This window comes from Homo sapiens, chromosome 6, assembly GCF_000001405.40.
Source record: "Homo sapiens chromosome 6, GRCh38.p14 Primary Assembly".
Taxonomy (NCBI): domain Eukaryota; kingdom Metazoa; phylum Chordata; class Mammalia; order Primates; family Hominidae; genus Homo; species Homo sapiens.
Window position 1 is genome coordinate 129,574,243 of NC_000006.12, and position 23,898 is coordinate 129,598,140.

The 23,898-nt window shown below is 38.6% G+C and overlaps 1 protein-coding gene across 1 annotated transcript in view; it reads right to left on the reverse strand.

Annotated features, from left to right (window-relative positions):
* Positions 1-1,889: 1,889 nt before the first annotated feature.
* Positions 1,890-23,898, reverse strand: part of ARHGAP18 (Rho GTPase activating protein 18) — a 134,046-nt gene continuing 112,037 nt past the window's right edge. The window contains exons 13-15 of the mRNA NM_033515.3: positions 9,746-9,870; positions 5,828-5,889; positions 1,890-4,362 (exon numbers count right to left, since the gene is read on the reverse strand). Coding sequence (NP_277050.2) covers positions 4,271-4,362; positions 5,828-5,889; positions 9,746-9,870 — 279 coding nt within the window. The 3' untranslated portion in view covers positions 1,890-4,270. The remainder of the gene's footprint in view (positions 4,363-5,827; positions 5,890-9,745; positions 9,871-23,898) is intronic.

The following is a 23,898-nucleotide window of genomic DNA, read 5'->3' on the forward strand; positions in this document are numbered from 1 at the left end:
AGGAACTTAAACAAATTTACAAGAAAAAATCAACCCCATCAAAAAGTGGGTGAAGGATATGAACAGACACTTCTCAAAAGAAGACATTTATGCAGCCAACAAACATGAAAAAAAGCTCATCATCACTGGTCATTAGAGAATTGCAAATCAAAACCACAATGAGATACCATCTCATGCCAGTTAGAATGGTGATCGTTAAGAAGTCAGGGAACAACAGATGCTAGAGAGGATGTGGAGAAATAGGAACACTTTACACTGTTGGTGGGAGTGTAAATTAGTTCAACCATTGTGGAAGACGGTGTGGTGATTCCTCAAGGATCTGGAAGCAGAAATACCATTTGACCCAGCAATCCCGTTACTGGCTATATGCCCAAAGGATTATAAACCATTCTACTATAAAGACACATGCACACGTGTGTTTACTGCAGCACTGTTCACAATAGCAAAGACTTGGAACCAACACAAATGCCCATCAATGATAGACTGGATAAAGAAAATGTGGCACATATACACCATGGAATACTATGCAGCCATAAAAAAGGATGAGTTCATGTCCTTTGCAGGGACATGGATAAAGCTGAAAACCATCATTCTCAGCAAACTAACACAGGAACAGAAAACCAAACACCGCATGTTCTCACTCGTAAGTGGGAATTGAATAACGAGAACACATGGAGACAGGGAGTGGAACATCACACACCAGCGCCTGTCAGAGGTTGGGGGGCTAGGGAAGGGATAGCATTAGGAGAAATACCTAATGTATATGACAGGTTGATGGGTGCAGCAAAACACCATGGCACATATATACCTGTGTAACAAACCTGCACGTTCTGCACATGTATCCCAGAACTTAAACTATATTAAAAAAAAAAAAAGTTAATTATGCCTTCTTATCTTAGACATCCCTTCACTTACTTTCCCGGTTCACTGCCTTCCTTCTTGTCATAATCGTTCTGCTTGAAATGGACGTTGTGAAAAGCCTAATTTCAGCTTAGAAAAATGTCCTCTTCTACCGCCCTTCCCATTCAATGGATTAAGGATAAAAGCAGACAAACAGATTGAACATAGAAACTCTGAAATTATTTACAATTTCAGAATCGGTAATCAAAGCAAGAGCTCCACAGTGTTCTTACCTAGCTGCCTTGCAGATGCCTGGCACTGAGTCTTAGCAACTTCCCTATGAACTCGGGTTCATTTTAAAAACTTCCCGTAGTTTCGATTCAAAGGAATGCCTGACCAATACTGCCACCTACTGATGAGTAGGTGAGAAATCAGGACAATCAGATGGAGAGTCCAAACCAGTTTAATGAAAACGAAGACAGACAATAATGAAAAATTCCTTGAAGTCGGTAAAATAATCTGCCTTTCCCAGAGAGTACTAGTAAGGAATTTACATCGAATCCTACAGCAGCATTAAGCAAAGATTGTGTAAGTGCAAAGAATTACAATGACCTCTGATACAGTCTGGCTCTGTGTCTCCACCCGAATCTTATCTTGAATTGTAATCTGAATTGTAATCCCCATATGTTGGGGGAAGGATCTTGTGGGAAGTGACTGAATCATGGGGGCAGTTCCCCGTGCTGTTCTTGTGATTGTGAGTTCTCACAAGATCTAATGGTTTTGTGAGGGGCTTTTCCCCGCTTCACCCTGTGCTTCTCATCCTTCTCCTTCCTGGCACCATGTGAAGGACATGTTTGCTTACCCTTCTGCCATGACTGTAAGTTTCCTGAGGCCTCCCCAGCCATGTAAGTCAATTAAACCTCTTTATAACTCACCCAGTCTCAGGTATTTCTTCCTAGCAGTGTGAGAACAGATTAATGAAGCCTCTTTCAGAAAAGAGCATCACCAACGTTACCAGGACAACCAGTCCTCCTTTAAGAATTCAAATGTTTTAAACTCAAGGCAAATATATTTATTTTTATTTTGTCTCATACACACACAGAAAAACAAATAAAAATCTAGCCTGAGATTTAAAACTCACTAAGGAAAAAAAATCACAGCAAAAGCAGTAGGTTAACATCAGGATATTTATATTCAAGGCTCTATGGTATCAAGTTTTTTTTCTCTTTAGAGCCAGGCATGGTGGCATGCACCTGTGGTCCTAGCTACTCACGAGGCTGAGGCAGGAGGTTTGCTTGAGCCCCAGTGCTTGAGGCTGCAGTTAGCCGCGAATGCACTGCTGTACTCCAATCTGGAAAACAGAGCAAGACCCTGTCTCTAAAAAATTTGAGATTTTTTAAAGTCCATATTTTTTTGTTATTTAAACGTGATATTATTCAACATTGATGAACTTGGGTCGTGAGTTCTAAAAGGGATTCAAAATAAAATGGCATTTTCACTTTTTTAAAATTAAGATACTTTTTCATGATCAAAAATATGTTGTGTCTCCCTCCTGACCCTCCTTTTCAGGTAGGTAGCAAACGTTGCGAAATTTAGTTGGCATATGCTTCAGACAACCTTTTACTTAAATCATTATCCTCACTGCTATCTTTTTTTTTGAAGTTGTATACTCCTAAAATGTTTTAAGCACTTAATTTTTCTTTTATATTATTAATTGTTTTCAACCCACTAATAAGTACCATTTTGCTAATTGGGAAATTAATACATATTGTCAAAGAAACAGACTAAACTGTATTTTGAAAATCCTGAAGAATAAAAATTTGTAAAAGGAAAAAAACTAAAGACGAAAACATATTTACATCTCTGACATCTTCCTACTTTAAAAATTACAAAGAAAATAGAAAATAGAGGTGACTTTTAATAACAAAAAAGTCCATTTCTCAATATTAATAAAAAAAAAGCAAAAATACTCATAAACACATAGGATTAAAAGTAATGATTCCAAGAGAAGATAATTTAGAAAAAGGCATTTAATTACAAAATTTTCTTTTAAATAAAAAAGCAATGGCACGAATCACCACAAAATCATTTAAGTGATCATATCCACAGGCTGTTCTTGTAATTATATGCTAAAAATTTATGACTGTTCTCATTAACAGCATTCCCCCCCTTCATTAGAGACATCAAGAGCTTCTGAGAATGTGTAGTTTTTCCTAAAGTACTACTAAAAGTATCATGAACACCGTTTGTGCAGCATTCATTTACATCACCTTTTATTTACTATATTCTAAACTCATAAAATATTTAACATTTCTCTACTTCATTTCTTATTTACAGTACAGAGGCTCATCTCTTGTCACAATATGGTTTGTGCATTAAAATCCCTGGGAATAGTACTTTCAAGAACATTTTAATAAATTGACTCCGATTATTTAAAATAAGAACACAAACAAAAGCTTTTTCACCCAGAAGAATAATTCTTCCAGTAGACTTATTCAGGACTTAAAAAAAAAAATCCCTCTTTAAGTAAAATACATTCTTCAACCATTACTGGATTATACTATCATGCATATTTATAATGCTAATAATGACAACACGTAAAGCCAGCTATGACTTTTAAAATTCCATTTAGAAGAGTACAGTAGACAGAAAGTGCTTTGGCTTTCACTCTCTTGTTATCCATAATCCAATTATTATTTCACATGGGTATATTTTATTTATTCTTAGTATATAAGTATTTAATGGTTCAGTAATAACTGGCAGCTTCTGACAGTCCTATTTTCTTGGTCGCTGATACGGTTCTGTGAACATAAGTCAGATGAACTGAAAAAAAATGCAAATCACTTCCTGTGATACAGCAGGAAAAGGTGGAATGTTATTATTTGAGCAAATGATTCAAAGAGATGAATACTAACATTCTGTCGTGACAGGAATACTGTGAAATTAGGTATGTTTTAATGTGCTGTCTTCACAACTTGCCATACCTGGTATTTGTTATCTTTTTGGTCAAAAAGCAAACCTAACTGGGAAAGGGTAGATGTGAGGAGGTAATAGAGGTGAGAGAGCATATATTACAGTATATATGATTTTAGGAGAAAAGAATGGGAAGAGAAGACATTTCCACATATTAAAAAAAAAAACTATGTCACATCTGGACACATTTCACAGAGCATATGAAAACTGCCCACAAACTAATTAAGCCTCTTTACTCTCACTCCAGAAATTTTTTTTCTAATAATAACATTAATAATAATTAATATAATTCTGGCAGCAGCACAAATCTATGACTTTTTAAGGCTTAAGAGAGTCATTTTTAAATACTTGGGTACAACTGAATAATATGAGTCCTGCCATTTCTTTTATTTACACTCTTGACTCAGCAAGAATTATGACAGAAGTCCACATGGTTATCTGCAGCTTGTTAAGTCTTCTACAATGGCTTTGACTTTATAACCCACTCAGCATTTGGGTTAAGCTGATATAAATCCTTCATGTAAGTGTCATCATCAAGGCAGCGTTCCCCTGTTAAAATAGATGTTGTGTCAGTTTAATACAGCAGGTAGATTGGTATGCAATTTTAAACTTAAGCTTAATTATTTAACTCTTAAGTCTTGGACTTCAAAATACTTATTCTACTTTGGGAGGCCGAGGTGGGCAGATTGGTTGAGATCAGGAGTTTGAGGCCAGCCTGGGCAACATAATGAAACCCCATCTCTACAAAAAATACAAAAATTAGCTAGGCATGGTGGCTTGCACCTGTAGTCCCAGCTACTCAGGGGGCTGAGGTGGGAGGATGGCTTGAGCTCAGGAGGTGGAGGTTGCAGTGAGCTGAGATTGCGCCACTGCACTTCAGCCTGGGTGACAGAGGCAGACACTGTCTCCAAAACAAAACAAATAATAATAATAAAAAAAAAACTTCTCATTCTTTCCTGTTTCTCAAAATATTGTAAGAATTGGCCAACAATTGGAAAAATAAATTTGGTAGTCTTTCTCCAAATGAATAGGTTTCAAATTAATTTAGGAAGCTGAAAATACTTTGTATGATAGGCTTTTAAATAGTTCCTTAAAAGCTTAATCATCTTATTAGGAGGGGCAATGGTTTTGAATCCACCTAAGAAACTACACTTAATTCCCAAGATCTAAAAGGAAAATAAGAAATCAAATCTATTAATATTTAAATAACCTTTACTAATAGAGTTAACAATTCCAGGTTTCTAGTGTCATGGCCTATTTAAGAATAAACCTTCACATTCCTATATTTAACTTTTAATATTTACTAACATTTTTAATTCCCACAAAAACACCCTACAAAATTTATTGCAAAATTATTTTTAATTACTATTTTGAACTTAACATGATTTCATTTATTTCTTAATAATTTTACCCTTACCATTTCCAAGAGTCAAAAAAGAAAAAAAGATTATTTTAAATTTTTAAAAAGAGATGGTTAAGACTCACTGATAATTACAAAAGGGTAAAATATAAAACATGGTCAAAGTTAATTCATTCCATTTTTTAAATTACTAATGTGAATTTGAGTGTGTGTGCATGTGTATAAAATTTAGCAGGAAATCAACTATGGCAAAAGTAAATCTGCTTTTACTAAAAATATCTAATACTGTACTATAATAAAGTGTTATCTTAGCCTTATATAAGCTCAACTACTTCCTTTACTATGTGACATGAGTATATTACAAAGAAGAGAGTTTTGAAAAACTTGCATCATTAACCATTCCAGGAGTTATTCTTACTGTATAGGGAACTTGCCTTTGCTGAAATTGAACATAGATGGGCATTTGTACAGGCGCTCAAACAGAGCCTGAAGAGAAAGGTCAAACCATTAAAGAAATCCACAATATTCAGCAACTTATCTAAAGCATGGTATATTTTACTTCTAATTTCCTGTTCTTCCTCCAAAGACATAAATAATAACCACTGGCAATATCAAAACAGCATATAAAATGTAAAGAGAAAAAAAAGTGCTTACCAATATTTCCTCCAATTTCATACAAAAAAACTTCTCCTTTCTTGAGAGTCTGGGCAACCCCACTATGAGGGACAAAACAAACCGATTAGTTGTATCATCAAACAGCTTGCAAGTAAATCACTTTAACGTGCTTGGGGAATTCTGGCTGGTATGGAAAATTCATAACTTAGACACACTGTAATTATCTACACGTTTGTATTTTCCCATCTGTTAAATGTACCCAATAGGTAATAAAAGTATCACACCTGTAAATTAAAATAAACAAATGGAATTATACATCTGAAGGCAAAGTAGTAAACCAGTATCTAAATTTGTAAAATTCAAAAGAAAAGTTAATGTAACATTTCCGCTGCCAATCAAATTATTAATATGATTATCCACTTTGTATACAAGCCAAAATGGTCCTCATAAAACTATTAAATGTTTCCACTTTAGTTTTCACATTACTCTTATTCAATAAGTATTTATCATGGGTTTGCTGTGCTGACAACTCCAGTAGTGTGCAAGATGCATGTGAAGAATAAGACATGCTTCTGACTGGGTGTGAAGGCTCATGCCTGTAATCCCAGCACTTTGGGAGGCCAAAGCAGGTAGATCGCTTGAGCCCAGTCTGGGCAACATGGCAAAACCCCATTTCTACCCAAAATACAAAAAATTTAGCCGTGCATGGTGGTGAGTGTCTGTGATCCTAGCTACTCGGGAGGCTGAGGTGGGAGGACTGCTTGAGCCCAGGAGATGGATGTTGCAGTGAGCTGAGATTGTGCCACTGCACTCCAGCCTGGGTGACAGAATGAGATCCTGTCTCCAAAAAGAAAAAAAAAAGAATAAGCCATTCTCTTCTGTCAGTTGTGCAAATGAGGGCAGCACAGACCCTCAGAGTGGAAGCAAATTATGTCATTATCTTTCTGTAAAAGAATTACCTGAGAAACCTGCTAAAAATTCAGATGGAGAGCTCTAGAAACTCAGATTTAACTGGTCTAGGATAAAGCCCAAGAAACTGCTTTTCAAATGCTCTATAGTGGATTCTGAAGCATGGCAAGGTTAGTGGACCACTAAGATAAGGCCCTGAAGACACACTCTCTGGAACTGAGAAGAGAAAATCAGGTCTGACTTGTATTCAAGCCATTAGGAAGAGCATGGTACAGCAGCAGCGCTCCTCACCACCCATGGAATGGCTCATCTGGTTCTCCTCCTTTCTCTCCCTGCCCTGTGTCCCTGGCACACTGGACAGTCAGGGCTCTCTGGGCCCTCACGCTATGTTCCACCTGCTGCACTGCATCTGATCCACTTTGTTTCCAACTACAGTGTAGGTTTATCTTTTAAATTAAATAATTTAATCATTATTATTTTTGTTTTTAATCTAGTACATAACACAATCAACTACTATAGGTCTAAAGAGAGTCCCTATTTCTGTGAAAACCAAATTGAATGTTTCAGGAGACTTGATTTAAAGAAAAACATCTAGTTAGATATTGCTGTCAGACTGATTCTCAAGTACCTGTGTTCTACTTTAAAGAAACAGGAACTAGATTTCCTGGTATATTCAGATTTTTGCGTAATGCTAATCAACAAATTCATCGTTAAAGGCAACAATCCTTTACCAAAGAATGAATGAACGTGCGATTTATTATACATATATTGTATATCATTCATATGTCCATTGGCTTCAGTTGACGAGGTGGGGGAGAAAAAGAATGGAAGGATATAGAGTTTCTACCTGCCCCAGCACAGGTGGAATACAAATGGAAGAAGCACAGGAATGTGGTGGAAGAAATATATAAACATTTACTCAGAATTTCACTTACTATGCGGCCCAGACAGACAGTGCTATATGCTGCATGGTCATTTTCCTAGTTAATTACAATAATAGATGCTATTCTGGTCCATTCTTACAAATGAGGAACTTGATACTTAAAGAGATGATAAAAACTAACTGAAGGTGAAACAGAAATAGTTAGCTTTGAAATCCAGATTACATCCCCAAGCATAAGGAAAGGGGCTGAGGACTGGGGGCGGAAGTGAGGTAAATGGAGAAGTTTACCAGACTTCCATCTAGGTGGAGAAGGAATAGGAGGAAGAGCGGGATGAAGATACCCTGCTCTGGGGGTAGCAAATGCTTATTTAATACAAACACCACAAGCAGAAAATCCAAATTTGTCAGACGATAGTTGTCACAAGTTGGTGCTTTCTATAACAATATGACTATGATTGTTTTCATGCTATACCTTAAATATTAAAGTCACAGTTGAATGTGGGGTACAGCTTCATAGTCTCATATTATTAGCAAGTAGAGGAACAAAAGTACAGACTAAATTGAGCACTTGGGTCCTGAAAGTAAATGTAAATTAACTGTGTCTGGCTGGAAAGAGCTGCTTATATCTGAAGTCTGGCCAGGTCTTCAGGTACACGTTCTGGGAGAGAATGAGAGCATGGCTGGTGGGAAGAATGGCAAAAGTTAGTATCTACTAAGTCAAGGTAGGGAGCAGAGAGGATGTGGATTGACTTTGCAGAAACTGCAAGACACTATAGGGAGCAAAGACATCTGAGATCTTCCAAGTGCCCTCAGGACATAATCTCCAAAAACACATCTACTCTCAGTCTCTGCACTAGTGGTTCCCAGATCTATGATGCTCTGTAGATCCTCCAGCCAGTGTGGAGAATGGTTAAGGGACTACCTTTGGAGGGAAACCACAGATTTAGAATTCCAGCTCTACCACCTATGAAAAATGTGTGACCTTGTAAATCTCTGTTTTCTTATCAGTGAAGCAGACGTAATAATAGCACTTACTTCAGAGTGCTGTTCTGAGGGAAGTTTACACTGGCTTATTGAAGCCTAGATATTACCAATAAGCCTCTCTCTCATTTCATCACCATCTGTTAGCTGCACAGATTCATCCTTTCTCCCAATTTATAAACCCTATGGGAAGGTACTTTAAAATATATGTTTATACCTCCCCTTCCAATTATGGTACTAGAAGTATTTAACATGTTTCTGTTCTGTTTAAGGCCTTGTGCTTTAGCAGAAAGCTTGATTGAAGCCCCCAAATGTTAGAATGAGGAGATTAAATTCAATGAAAGACCAAGACAGAGTATTCGTAAACTGAGATGCCAATGCCCTGGATGTCCCTCTGTTTTTAAACATTTAGTTTATTTCAGTGACTGAAAATGAGGCTGGAGGAGGCATGAAAACATGACTTCAGCTAAAAGAAAGAATTCAAAGGGCAAAACCTGAAAATACAATATACTTGTTAGGATCTCTAAAATATAAGAAGACACTGCAAAGTGTTCTGGAAAGGGCATACTCTAATATAGTGAGAGGGATGCTAGCAGCTTTCAAATGACTCTCCCTGCCCCATCAACCCCAAAATATAGATGAAGGACCTGTTGTCCTTAATGAGGATGGTATGTTCTCCCCTTGAGACTTCAGCGCTCAAAGGCCTGGTTTTCCTCTTTCAATTCTTTATGGTTTGTTTTTAAATTTGACCATTTTGAAATCCATTATATTTCATAGAAAAAGTTGTGTCTTTTCTTTATTTTAATGCCACTGCATCCTAATTAGTAATTTTCCTTACAGCCTACAAACAGTAATTAACCTCCAATCAACATATCCTGGAAAGAATACTGAGTGGTCTCGCTTGGCAAGCCCATCACAGGCCCAGTGAAGGAACACTCAGAAATCCTGCTTGAATCAGGCTCAATCTGAACACAAGCCACATCAAATGAACTAAACTCATTCCAACAGTCTAATGGTTAAGTCTGCTGTTCTCTTCTGCTGGGAAGACAATATTTTTAAGCATTTCATACTACCCCACAATTAAAACAAAAAAAAAAAAAAGGAAGAAGAAGCAGCAGCGAAGGCGAGAGAGAGAGAGCAAGTGACTTATGCCATGGCATAATTAACACAAAACAGGCCTCTACCTTTCTTGGCTGAGAAACCTGGCAAGTACATCACTGGCTTTTAGTTCTTCAGTTAGCTGTATTGCCATGGAAACTTTCGAAAGATGGGGAGCTTGCACTCGAATCACTCCCTGAGGAACGTCAGCCTGCAAAGCAATAATGACACTGGAACAAAGCTGGCAGCAGCTGGAACGTGTAACTCTACAATGCATTATATAGTAAGTGTGCTTAACTACTACGCATTTTACTTCACTACATAAAAACCTTAACTACTGTATAATGTAATTTGCAAAATTACATCAAACCTCAAATATCCTCTTAATGGTGATAGGGGAACTTTATAATGCCTGTGCAGTAATGCTTAATTATTTTTAAAGATGTAAAGAATGACAGCAATAACCATTACTGCCATATTAAGTGCTGATTTCTGAGTATTATCTACTAGAGGGTGCTTCTTCATGTAGCAATTTATGAAATTGAATCAGAAAGAAGTTACTCTGTGTGCTACTGCAGTATGTACATTTGAAAAATCTTCCTGGACATTCACAAAATTTCACAAAATTTTTTTGTCTCTGAATGTTTTATAAAAAAGAAACATACTTTTCTATTTTTATTGTCTGTTCCCCATTTGGTTAATGAGCTCATGCTTTTTGGCTATACACTTTGAACTTACGATGACCCCTTTCTAAATCTTTTGCCCATGGATGTGAAAAACATTTTATGGATTCGAGGATACCAGTGAAAGTTTATGAGGTTTGTAATACCAAAATGTCAGCTATAGCGTTAGAAATATTAGTCTTAATTAATTCCTAAAGGGTTTTGCTAAAATAAATACTATTATTTATAACCATTATGACTTAGACCTTAGAATAAACAGCACGCACAAATCATGTTCAAAAGATAATGCTTTAAATAATACAAATACCCTGTTCAATTGAACCAAAATTTATTAAGCATCTACTGAGTACCAGATATTGTACTAGGTTTACTTACCCAGTAATAAATAAGAAATAAGTCCTTTACTGCATAACTTTGTGCCCACAATATCATGTCCTTTTTTTTTTTTTTTTAATGTACATGGTCTTGAATTGTTTTTTTAAAAAATAAACATCTCAGGAGTTTGAGACTAGCCTGGCCAACATGGCGAAACCCTGTTTGTACTAAAAATACAAAAATTAGCTGGGTGTGGTGGTGCCCCACCTGTAATCCCAGCTACTCGGGAGGCTGAGGTAGGAGAATTGCTTGAACCCAGGAGGCAGAGGTTGCAGTGAGCTGAGACGCACTCCAGCCTGGGAGACAGAGTGAGACTCCATCTCAAAAATAAATAAATAAATAAAAATAAAATAAAATAAACATTGAGCAGAGATATACAACAGATGCCACTAATTTGATTTCTTTCAAAGTTCAACACAAATAATATACCTTTAGAATCAGGCTCTATAAAAATGTAGGTACCCTAAAAGATTTAATATTGCTTCTCAGTAATATCAGAGATTTAGTGTGGGAATAACAAGGAAAAGAAGCAACACGATATAAGACTGTACAGTGAGTATGGGATTGTGGAAGACCACAGACTGCAAACAACAGCTAGACCTGCAAAGGTATCACAAAGGACCTGACCATCAACCTCAGAAATCCTGCTGCAGAGTGGGTGGTGCCCCACCTGCCTCCTTCCTCTGACCAGTCAGTGAAGGGCCACAGAACACATTACTCCAAACCTGAACAAAAATGGACAAAGCCTTCCAGGGCCTTACACTCATGACTTTGCTGGGCTAACCTTGGTCATAGCATCCTCCTCTACCTTCTGTTGCAGGACATATTATGCTCAATTCAATCTGTGAAGGACAACCTAATTCCAACCTCCCAATTCCAAGCCCCCAATTCCAACCTGTGCCCACACCCCTCAATTCCTGCTTCATCTTTCCATCCAGCCTGAATCCTTGGCTTGGTTTTTTGACTTATTGATACTTCAGTCTATGACCTTGACCTCATCCCTAAGATACAAGTATAATTTCCCTTTGTCCTTGATTCTGTGACAGGCTTTATTTTCACTTAGAACACTTTGGAACACATGCTGCTTCTTGCAATGGATGGGGCATTTCATGTGGTACAAAGCAGTTATTAAATCAATGGTGTAACATACAACTCAGTGACTCCATGAACTTCTCCCTTGGGTTTGAACTCTAGGTTATTTCCCACTATGGCCATTTAAGCTGTTCACATGGCCTCACCTATTTGTTGCCTCATAGGAGGTGGAAAATAATCAGTAGCATGAACACCTTTAACATTAGACTGAAAATTGTAATAGCAACATCTGAAGCACTGAGACTGTGCTCATAAAACCCTAATCCACCTTGTCTACTCAGTAAGCACAACAATATTGGTATTTTGGATTCTGTTAGTTTATCACTATTATTATGACTATTGTTTTACTTATAAAACAATAGTAAATAAATATTATTTACTATTGTGGAGGGACTTGAACGGCAGGCTAGAGTTTACAGATAGCCATGCACTTTATATTGAGGTTAAAAGTTAGGAAATCCTGGTTAAGTCATAGTGTCAAATATCCTTATATACAGGTTTATCAGGGACAGAAATTGTTCCCAGAATCACATCTTACCCAGCCCTAGAAGAAGGCAGCCAAATCTGCACTGACATTTAAAGTGAAGATGACTGGATTAAGTTTTTATATACAGAAAGTCCATAATAAATGAGTTGCAAAACCAAAATGATTGAGAAAATAATATATTACCATAAAGAGTTCAGGGATATGGCAATCTTAGTCAGCTCCTGGCCTTTTCCCCCACTATTTCTTGTAGAACCTTCTACTGTTTGGATAAAAAGGCCCAGCAGCACTCCAAGCTTTCCTATCTTTGTGTACGTTCTACTCCCCCTCCCAAATATCTCTCTGCTAACCATTTTCAAGGCTCAGCTCAAATACCTCAAACTCCATGGAACCTTCCATGCTCCACAGAGTCAAAAGGAATCTCTTCATTCCGCTGACTCTCCTTCATAAGGGTCCTACTATATGACCTGTATTCTGGTTGTATGCCACATATCTGACTCATATCTGTAGCCACCCATCAATGTTTATTGATTAAATGAATCATTCAAAATTACTTATTTTTTGTTCATTTTTACTAACAATGATAACATAAACAAAGTAAAATGTCTCTAGAATAAAAGAAAGTATGCCAAGGGGTATTTCCTTAATGGCAAAAACTCATCTTAGGAACAATGTCTAAAAGAAACAAGTTAAGGTGCCTCTATCCACCATATGGTATTCCCTCCACTACCAAGAAAAGACAGGAAGGGAAAGAAAGCAGAGAAAAGGAATTAAGTGTGTTACAAGAGATAATTCAGTCACTTACTTCTGTAGAGAGCCAAAGAGAAAAGCCAGAGTTACTAACATTAGCATGTATCTACTTGGGGATGTAGTCTCTTTTCCCCTCCAACACATCTCATGAAGAGCTGAATGTATTAGTCTCTTCTCGTGCTGCTATGAAGAAATACCCAAGACTAGGTAATTTATAAAGAAAAGAGGTTTAATTGATTCATAGCTCCTCATGGCTAGGGAGGCCTCAGGAAACTTACAATCATGGCAGAAGGCACCTCTTCACAGGACAGCAGGAGAGAGAAATGTCAAGCAAAGGGGGAAAAGCCCCTTATAAAACCATCAGATCTCATGAGAACTCACTCACTATCACAAGAACAGCAGCATAAGGGTTACCACCCCCATGATTCAATTACCTCCTACCAGGTGCCTCCCACAACACATGGGGATTATGGGAACTAGAATTCAAGATGAGATTTGGGTGGGGACACAGCCAAACCATATCATTCCATCCCCAGCCTTCCAAAATCTCATGTCCTCACATTTCAAAACATAATCATGCCTTTCCAACAGTCCCCCAAAGTCTTAACTCATTCCAGCATTTACCCAAAAGTCCAAGTCCAAGGCCTCATCTGAGACAAGGCAAGTCTCTTCCACCTATGAGCCTGCAAAATCAAAATCAAGTTAGTTACTTCCCAGATACAATGGGGGTACAGGCATTGAGCAAATGCACCCATTCCAAATGGGAGAAACTTGCCAAAACAAGGGGGCTACAGGCCCCACACAAGTCCGAAATCCAACAGGGAAGTCACCAAATCTTTTTTTTTTTTTTGCAATGGAGTCTTGCTTTTTCACCCAGGCTGGAGTGTAGTGGTGTGATCTCAGCTCACTACAACCTCTGCCTCCTGGGTTCAAGCGATTCTCCTGCCTCATCCTCCCGAGTAGCTGAGATTATAGGTGTGTGCCACCATGCCCAGTTAATTTTTGTATTTTAAATAGAGATGGGGTTTCACCATGTTGGCTGCTGGTCTTGAACCCCTGACCTCAAGTGATCCACCCGCCTTGGCCTCCCAGAGTGCTGGGATAACAGGCATGAGCCACCATGCCCAGCCTAACCAAATATTAAAGTTCTAAAATGATCTTCTTTGACTCCATGTCTCACATTCAGGTCATGCTGATACAAGAGGTAGGCTCTAACAGCCTTGGGCAGCTCTGCCCCTGTGGCTTTGCAGGGTACAGACCCCCTCCCGGCTGCTTTCACAGGCTGATGTTGAGTGTCTGCAGCCTTTCCAGGCACATAGCAACAGCTGTCAGCAGATCTACCATCCTGGGGTCTGAAGGACAATGGCCCTCCTCTTATAGCTCCACTAGGCAGTGTCCCAGTGGGGACTCTGTGTGGGGGCTCCAACCCCACATCTCCCTTCTGCACTGCCTTAGCAGCAGTTCTCCATGAGGGTTCTGCCCCTGCAGCAAATTTTGCCTGGACATCCAGGCATTTCTATACATCCTCTAAAATCTAGGCGGAGGTTCCCAAACCTCAATTCTTGACTTCTGTGTACCTACAGACTAAACACCACATGTAAACTTGCCAGGCTTGGGGTTTGCACCCTCTGAAGTAATGGCCCGAGCTGTACCTTGGCCCCTTTTAGCCATGGCTGGAGCTGAAGCAGCTGGGATTCAGGGCACCATGTCCTGAGGCTGTGTAGAGCAGGGGAGCCCTGGGCCTGGCACAGCAAACCAGTTCTCCCTCCTAGCCCTCCCTCTGTGATGGGAAGGGCTGCCTTGAAGGTCTCTGACATGCCTTGTAGACATTTTTCCCATTGTCTTGGTGATTAACATTTAGCTCCTTGTTACTTCTGCAAATTTCTGCAGTGGGATTGAACTTCTTCCCAGAAAATGGGTTTTTCTTTTCTATCACATTGTCAGGCTGCAAATTTTCCAAACTTTTATGTTCTGCTTCCCCTTCAATGCTTTGCCGCTTAGAAATTTCTTCCACCAGATACCCTAAATCATCTCTCTCAAGTTCAAAGTTCCACAGATCTCTAGGGCAGAGTCAAATTGCCACCAGTTTCTTTGCTAAAGTATAGCAAGAATCACCCTTATTCCAGTTGCCAACAAGTTCCTCATCTCCATCTGTGACCACCTCAGCATGGACTTTTTTGTCCACAACACTATCAGCATTTTGGTCAAAGCCATTCAATGAGTCTCTAGGAAGTTCCAAACTTTCCCACGTCTTCCTGTCTTCTGAGTCCTCCAAGTCTCTAGTTCCAAACTCTTTCACATTTTCTTATCTTCTTCTGAGCCCTCCAAACGGTTCCAACCTCTGCCTGTTACCCAGTTCCAAAATCACTTCCACATTTTCAGGTATCTTTATAGCAGCACCCCACTCTATCGGTACCAATATCTGTATTAGTCGTGGTTCTTGAAAAGGACAGAACTCATAGCATAGATGAGTTTATTAAGGAGTATTGACTCACACGATCACAAGGTGAAGTCCCACAATAGGCCATCTGCAAGCTGAGGAGCAAGGAAGCCAGTTCGAGTCCCAAAACCTCAAAAGTGGGGAAGCTGACAGTGCAGCCTTCAGTCTGTGGCTGAAGGTCAGACAGCCCCTGGTAAACCATTGGTGTAAGTCCAAGGGTCCAAACATTGAAGAACTTGGAGTCCAATGTTCCAGAGCAGGAAGCATCCAGCCAGGAAAAAGATGAAGGCCAGAGGACTCAGCAAGTCTGTTCTTTCCACTTTCTTCTGCCTGCTTTTATTCTAGCCATGCTGGCAGCTGATTAGATGGTGCCCACCAAGCCTCTCCCAGTCCATTGACCCAAATATTAATCTTCTTTGGCAACACCCTCACAGACACACCCAGGAACAATATTTTGCATCCTTTAATCCAATCAAGTTGACCCTCAATATTGAGTGACAACTTAATGCTTTCTAAATGAGCTCAGGTACCATAGCTTTGGGGAGTATGACCATGCCATGCTTCCTTATGAAATGAGGTGTTGAGTTCAGGGTGGTAAAAGGACTTGCACAGAAAGCACCACATCTGACCCAGGAATCTAGGATCTTTCTGATAGTTAAGAGTTTTAATAGAGAGTCCCAAGATACTAGCTTCTGGGGGCAATTGGGAGTTTTCACGTATATGTGTAATGTTAGGTAATTGACATATTATGGGGTACACAGGCTGGTTTTTGCCAAGATGGGAAGCAGCATGAGTACTCTCCTACAGATTCCTTCTGGCTATGAAATAAAAACATTTCCCACATCCCTTTCCCTCAATGAGCAGAGGATGAGGTTAAGCCACCTTTGAGCTCAGCAAGAACCCTTCCCAAGCTACAAACGGTAGTCATTTTGACTCATTTCACAAAGAGCTGGAATATCAATATCCTTGGAAAGCATTTCATTAAACCAACAATGGTACATGGTTTTCATTAAACCTTCCTAGGCTGACATTCTCTGACCACTAGAGAACCTGTATTCTACGGCAGGGAGAGAGAGTGTGTGTGTGGTTTGTGTGTCTATGGGATATGAACATTTCTCAGCTTGTTTATTTCTGTAGTGATTCATCCCATCCAAATTCTTACAACAATACAGAGATTGAGAGTTTGACTCAATATGGATATACAATGCTCTTTATCCCTGAAGAAGAAACGAGTTTAACCAGTATATATAATGGTAAAGCTAAAGAGTTAAAGTTGTTTCTGGGAAGTTTTTGCTGGATATCTTGACAAGGAAGGCCAAATGATATTTACAAAGATGATAAACAATAAATTATGCCAAAGCCATCATTTAAATGGTGTATGAAAACCACTATTAAGTACTAGAATCATGCTGTATCGAATACTGAAGTTATTACTATACTAATTACATTGAGTTGCCAAGCTTTGAAAAGATACAACATGCCTGATCGTTAAGCCAGTCTGTTCTTAACTTGAGCCATAATAATAACTGAATCTGTACACAGTATGATCTTTATAACCCTTCTCTTTCACATGTTTTAATCTAAAATTGTCACTCTGTCTCCTGCTTTTTTTTCCCATTGAGATAGGGGAGGAGCGTGCTTGTGAACTGCAGTTATGTGAGGTACAGCAGGACTGGAGAAGGGCAGTATTTGACTAACACTCCATCAAAGAAAAGTCACAAAGGATTTTACAACTTCAAGAGTGTTAATTTCTTATGCATGCTAAGATTATTAAAATAGAGAAAATGACCTCATATGGTCTTCACATGTTTTACATATTGAACTGAAGTTTATATTTCTAAACCTGATTTTATTATTATCTGGTTAAATAACAATTTTAGCATTTTTTCATAAGGTATCTAAAAACACTGCATTGCTCATATTTTTGCACTCTAGAGATTAGAAATTTAATGTCAGACCGGTAAAAGAGGTCTCTTTCTTTTTCATTAAAAGCTAATTTAAATGTAAAGCTGACATTTTTTATGCTACAGAAAACCCTTTTTATCTTCAAAAGGGCAAATTGGAAATACAGCTTTTTCAAAAAGAAGGCCAGATATAACACATATTTTAGAAAATTAAACAGGGACATTTTAGCAAGGTATCTTAAACTAAAATGGTATATTCATCACCCTAGTCTGAACTGACAATACTGGGAAGTGGTGATATAAAAGGAATTCGCTACTATCTTGAACTATGTGCTAATTATAATTGGATCTTTGTTATCCAAATGCCTTAAACTTTTATCCAACTCACAGATTCAGAGGATTTTAAAGAAAGGCTTAAAATAACTTCCATAGTTAATAAGAATTTAATTTCCAATGACATAAGTTCTAATATTTTTTTTTAATGTGGTATTTTTATGCAGTATTAAAAATCAGGGAATGTCATAAAAAGAAATAAGATTTTGTGCTTGATATTGTAATCTGATTTTCCACTTGGGTCCCCAAGTAAATCCAGCCACTATTTCCAGACCTAAAGCAGATGCTTGAAACAATACCTGCAACAATGCTTTGCAGCAAGAACTGTTAAATGAAATCAGAGATGCAATTCTAAACAGAGTTGTGCATAAAGGCACGCAACCCTGGCCACAAACAACTCAGCATCTACACCGCACTGCTGCCAATGCCAGGATTCTTCCAGTGGTAGCAACAGATTTCTTTTTCACATCCATAGCCCTACACTTTAAAATGTGACAACATTATTCTGGAACTTTCAGCAAGTCACGTAAGCTCTCTAAAGCTTGAGTTCCTCCCTGGTAAATTAAGGGTGTGATACTAGCATGTCCCAAGTTAACACTAACATTAACCCTATGAGAGAAAGCCTTTTGTTTCCTTGACCTATGAGGTCAGAAGTGGTGAGCAGCATGGCATTTTGGACAGAATCTCATACAGCCACTCTGTACCCTCACTCTCATAAATGAACAGCCTCCCTTTGAGAGGTGAGCTTGAATGGCAGAAGAAACATCATACAAACCTAAGTCACAATAACCCTGAGGCCTGGATGAGTCAACAAATCACAACCAATTGTTCATCAAAGCTGCCCCCTACATTCTTAGTAGGCAGAGATGCAATCTGAGGTAATTATAAGATATCCTTTAAAATTCTAAAAGGAAAAAACATGTGGGAGACAGGATGCAACAAGATCAGAAAAATGTGTTCGATTGTTGATGATAAAGGTTTTGGGGGGCTCATGTACTATTCTTTCTACTCGTATGTGTTTAAAAAGTTTCATGATAAAATTAAATATACATATGCATACACACACACAAACACACCAATAGGAAGAGGGAATTACCCTTCCAGCTTTTAGACGATACACACGCCCAAGTCCTGCCCTGGGAGAGTCTGACTCAGTGGGTCTAGCGAGTCACCCAATCACGGTTTGCTTTTTGTTTTGTTCTAAAATAATATTACCAGGCCAGGTGCAGTGGCTTACACCTGTAATCTCAGGTGTGAAAGGCTGAGGAGGGAGGATCGCTTCATGCCAGGAGTTCGAGACCAGCCTGTGTAACGTAGCAAGACCCTGTCTCTACAAAATAGTTTAAAAATTAACCAGGCATGGTGATGCATGCCTGTAGTCCCAGCTACTCATGAGGCTGAGGTGGGAGGATCCCTTGAGCCTGCAACTTTGAGGTTACAATGAGCCATGATTGCACCATTGCACTTCAGCCTGGGTGAAAAAGCAAGACCTTATCTCCAAAAATAAACAAACCTTTAAAAAATTAAATATTACAGATGCCACTATTGTGAACTTCTGGTTAAACACCATTAACCTGATCCTACCCTATCATTTTATAAAAGAAACTGAAGCCCACAGAGGTAAAATGACTTGTCACACTCACTCGTGGCAGAGCTGGGGCTATATCCTCAGGCCACATGACTTCTGAGGTGTATGTGTGGGTGTAGATGTGTGTGTTATCAATCCCGACAAGTTAAAGCCTATCAGAAAATGATTATTATTAATGGTCTACAATTTTCTTATTTTTCCTCCAACTGTTTCTTCCTACTATAATTAATGGATAAGACATACTAGTATTTAAGAACATCTACATTTGGACCAAACACTCAGTATGCTGTAGTCACTAAAAACATTTGCCTCATGAGGTAAATTGAGTACATCTTAAAACCTGGCTCAAATTATTAATTAACTAGTGTAGTCTAGCACGTCTTAATAATACAAATGCCCAATTATAAACGGTTAGTTTTAATAGCATACAAAATTATTATTTTTTTAACAGGGGTGTCACTGTTTTACCCAGGCTGGCATCTAACTCTTAGGCTCAAGTGATCCTCCTGTTCAGCCTCCCAAGTAGCTGGGACTACAGGTGCATGCCACTGCATTGAGTCAAAGCCTCTTAAAAATATTACCTTGAAGAATGTTTATGATCTATAGTCTCTTTCACTCTCCAATCCCTGGCAATCTAGCTTTTTCCATAAATTACCATTGACAATGCTTTGGGGAAAGTAATAATTAACCTTCAAATTCAAAAACCTTTGTTCAGTGTTAACCTTACTCAGTCTCTCTGCAGCATTTGGCACTACTAACCAAGCTCTTTTTACTTACTTTACTCTTCCTGCCTGGGCTTCAGAGAAAATATACATCCTTCAACTTTCTCTTACTTCCTATTATTTCCTAGCCTCCTTCACCAGCTCTTCTTGAATGGCCCATACTTAAACATTGGAATCCCCTAGAGATCTCTCTTTGTCTCTTTATTTTCTTACTCCATATATCCACCTTGTGTAATATGAACCACTCTATGACTTCAACAACAATCTCTAGGCTAATCCCAAAGGTGTGCCTCCAATGCTGGATGCTCCTTGAAATTCAGGCCCCTGTAGCCGACTCACACAGGCACGTTAACCCAAAGTGTCAAAAACTCACTTTTAAGTCTGTCCCCCTTTTGCTTGATGCTAAAGTCACCCAAGGCCAAATTTGGCAAGTCATTCTAGATTCCCTTCTTCTTCCACATTCTTCACATCCAACCAGTATCCACATGTTGCAGGGTTCCTATTGGCTCACATTCTAAACTTCTTTCGATTCTCAACTGGGCCTTGGCTCTAGCCCAGGACCATTTTAAGAACTACATATAAAACATATTTTATAACAGCAGTAATCCATGTTCATTGTATTACCACCCATAAGCCCAGAGTTTTGGTATATATCCTTCTTAGAGTCCTTCTGTGATCTATGGAGAAACAGAGAATAATGGTGAAGAGTCCATGGATTTAAAGTCATATAGATTTGGTTTCAAATTCCAGCTCCACTAATTCCTATCTAGATAACCTTAGTAACTTTAAGATTGCTAATTCTCACTTTCCTCATCTGAAAAAAATTAGACAATAATACACCCCAATTAGACTACCATAAATATTACGAGACAATATTTGTAAAATGTTTAGCATTGTGTCTGACCTCTGCAAAGCATTAAAATCATAGCTATTACCCCCTAAAAATATAGCACTACACCATTCACTGACTCGTAACTTCTTTTATCACATAGTAACATATTACGAATCTCTTCAATGTCAAGATACACATTTGTACACTTTCATGGTATTTCGCTGTATAGATATGCCATAATGTATTTAACTAGCCACCTCTGTTCTTTTGGATTATCTCTAATTTTGGTCAGTGTAAGAAAATGGCAATGAACTTAACCATAAATATTTGCATGTTCATGCTATTACTCTCTTTGGAGGAATATCTGAGTCCAGTGAAGAGCATGGCTTTCAGGACTTTGCCACATGCTGCTGTTCTCTGGAAGAACTCTACCAATTTATATACTCCCATCAACAAGGAAATTACCTACCATCTCCTACCTACCCTCCAATCTTACACTCCCTCAAATCTTTCCTTCACCTTTCAGCAGTTCCCTGTCATGCACAGAATAGAAACTTTGCTATCAATCTCTCTTAAGGCTCACTCCTGCTTTCCCTCTGCCCCTGTCTCTCTATGCACCTAAGTGGCCAGTTAGTATGACCTGATTTTCTCTCCAAACATTTCAAATATCCCCACTTAAATGTCCAATAGACATCATACTCAATATGTCCTAAATTGAAATCATGAAATTGAAAGCAATACCATCCTTCCAATTTCTCAGGCCAAAAATCAGAGTCATTTTTGACCTCTTTTGTTCTCCTACATGATTTCCATCAGGAAATCTCAATGGCTCTAACTTCAAAACAAAATCCAGAATCCAACCATTTCTCCACTTTCCGATGCTGATACCCTGGTCTGAACCACCATTATCTCTTACCTGGATTACAAGAACCTCCCAAATGATCTCCCTATTTTTCTTTGCTCCCTTTTAGTCTATTCTCAACACAACAGCCTAAGGAATCATTTTAAAACATAGTATAGATTTTCAAGCCTTTGCTTCAAACCCCCATTTCACTCAGAGTAAATCCAAATTTCTAATGATGGTCTATCTACAAGGCCCTATGCAATCTTGCCCCATTGCCCCTCTGACCTCATTTCACACTACCGTTCCCTCTGCTGGCTTCACTCCAGCTACACTCACTCCTTAAGGTAAGTTCCTGTCTTAAGGTTTTTTCACAGACTATTCTTTCTGCCTGGACTGAGTTTCCTGAGATATACACACAACTCAACTCCCTGCCCTTCTTCTTGTCTTTGCTTAAATGAATAATATCCAGACCATCTCAACTTAATAGTGCCAGGGGATCTCCTTCCCAATTCCCCTTGTTCTGTTGTTTTTATTACTTTTGGAGGATAAATCACATACTAACACATTATATGAATTACTTCCTAGATTTACTTTTATTTTTAGAATTTAAGCTCTGGAAGAGCAGTGATCTTTGTATGTTTTGTCCAATAATTTATATTTCAAGTACCCAGTAATTCCTGGCACACAGTAGGCACATATCAAGTAACTGTTTAACAAATGACAAAAGCTACCCCCAGGCAATTTCATGCCCTATAGTTTCATATTGCATATTTAAATGATTTGGAGGAGAGTCAAGAAACTACAGCAACCAGACAGAATGAAGGAGGGGGCATGGCTTACAGCAAAGTAGATGGTCCATGTTCCATGCAAAAGGAACGGCTCCTACTCAAATCCAGGGAATTGCTACCCTGATGGAAAGCAGGCCTCTTACTGCCAGAAGATGAGGGATGCCCCAACATCCATTTGTCATTAAGACGGTGGTTCAAACTTTCACATTAAATGTTTTAGCTTTAGAATTCTGGCAGTTGCCAGTTGGAAGCAACATGCAAAAAACTCTTGTTACTTAGTAACTTACCACATATCCACAGTATTTGAACTTAGCTTGCACCTCTACTTGTTCTGTAATTGCTTTGTGTGTCTATTTACTCTCCCTAATAAAATGGCATAATTTTTTTTTTAAATTTTGGCTATTGATTAGAATTTTTTTTTTTTTTTGAGATGAAGTCTCACTCTGTCACCCAAACTGGAGTGCAGTGGCGCAATCTTGGCTCACTGCCTCCCAGGTTCAAGCGATTCTCCTGCCTTAGCTTCTCAAGTAGCTGGACTACAGGTGTGTGCTACCACGTCCAGCCAATTTTTATATTTTTAGCAGAGATGAGGTTCCACTGTCTTGGCCAGGCTGGAGATGAGAATTTTTCTACCAAAATGACAGGCCAAACAGACCTCCACCATGGGCTGTGATGTCAGAAAGCTTCCACTGCAGGTTAGATGGCTCTTCTCTAGTGACACCTGAACAACACTGATTTATTTTTCACATCTCAGCTTGACTCCCCAGTGAAGCCTCTCTCATGCTTACTTCCTGTTTTGTAGATTACGGTACCCTGGTCAGGCTTCAATCACATACCTCTGAGCTACATCCCTTCTATATGCCTTCTCCTGGCTCCTCGAGGGTGAGCACCCAGCTCCCTGACTCCCTGGGAACACCTAACATAAAGTGGGGGCCTAGCACCAAGGTGGCAATAGCATTTTGTTGATGAGTAACTGAATTTCACATAAGGAAAGAAAAAAAAAAACTCAAAGAGGTAAAGTTACAGCTAATATGTGATGAAACTGATATTTAAATCCCAAGCTTTAAAATGACAATACAGTTTTTAAATAGTACAGAGATCATTCTCAGACCAGATCATGTCTAACTATGCCAAAGTGCAAACTAAAGAAGTTAATGCTTTTTTTTCCATAAATGACAAAATTACTAAAATATTCCATTTCCAAAAAGTAAACGTTTCAGTTTTTCTAAATATTATTTAAAAGGTACACCCCAAATGTTTCCTTAAGTAGATCCTGAGCTTCAGAATATCACAGCTAAATGCCCTATAAAAAGACAAGACTATAAAGTCACTTAATATGAATAAGAAGGGCTACAAAACAGACTTAATTCACATATTTACAATGGTCTTAGAGGTAACAGAACA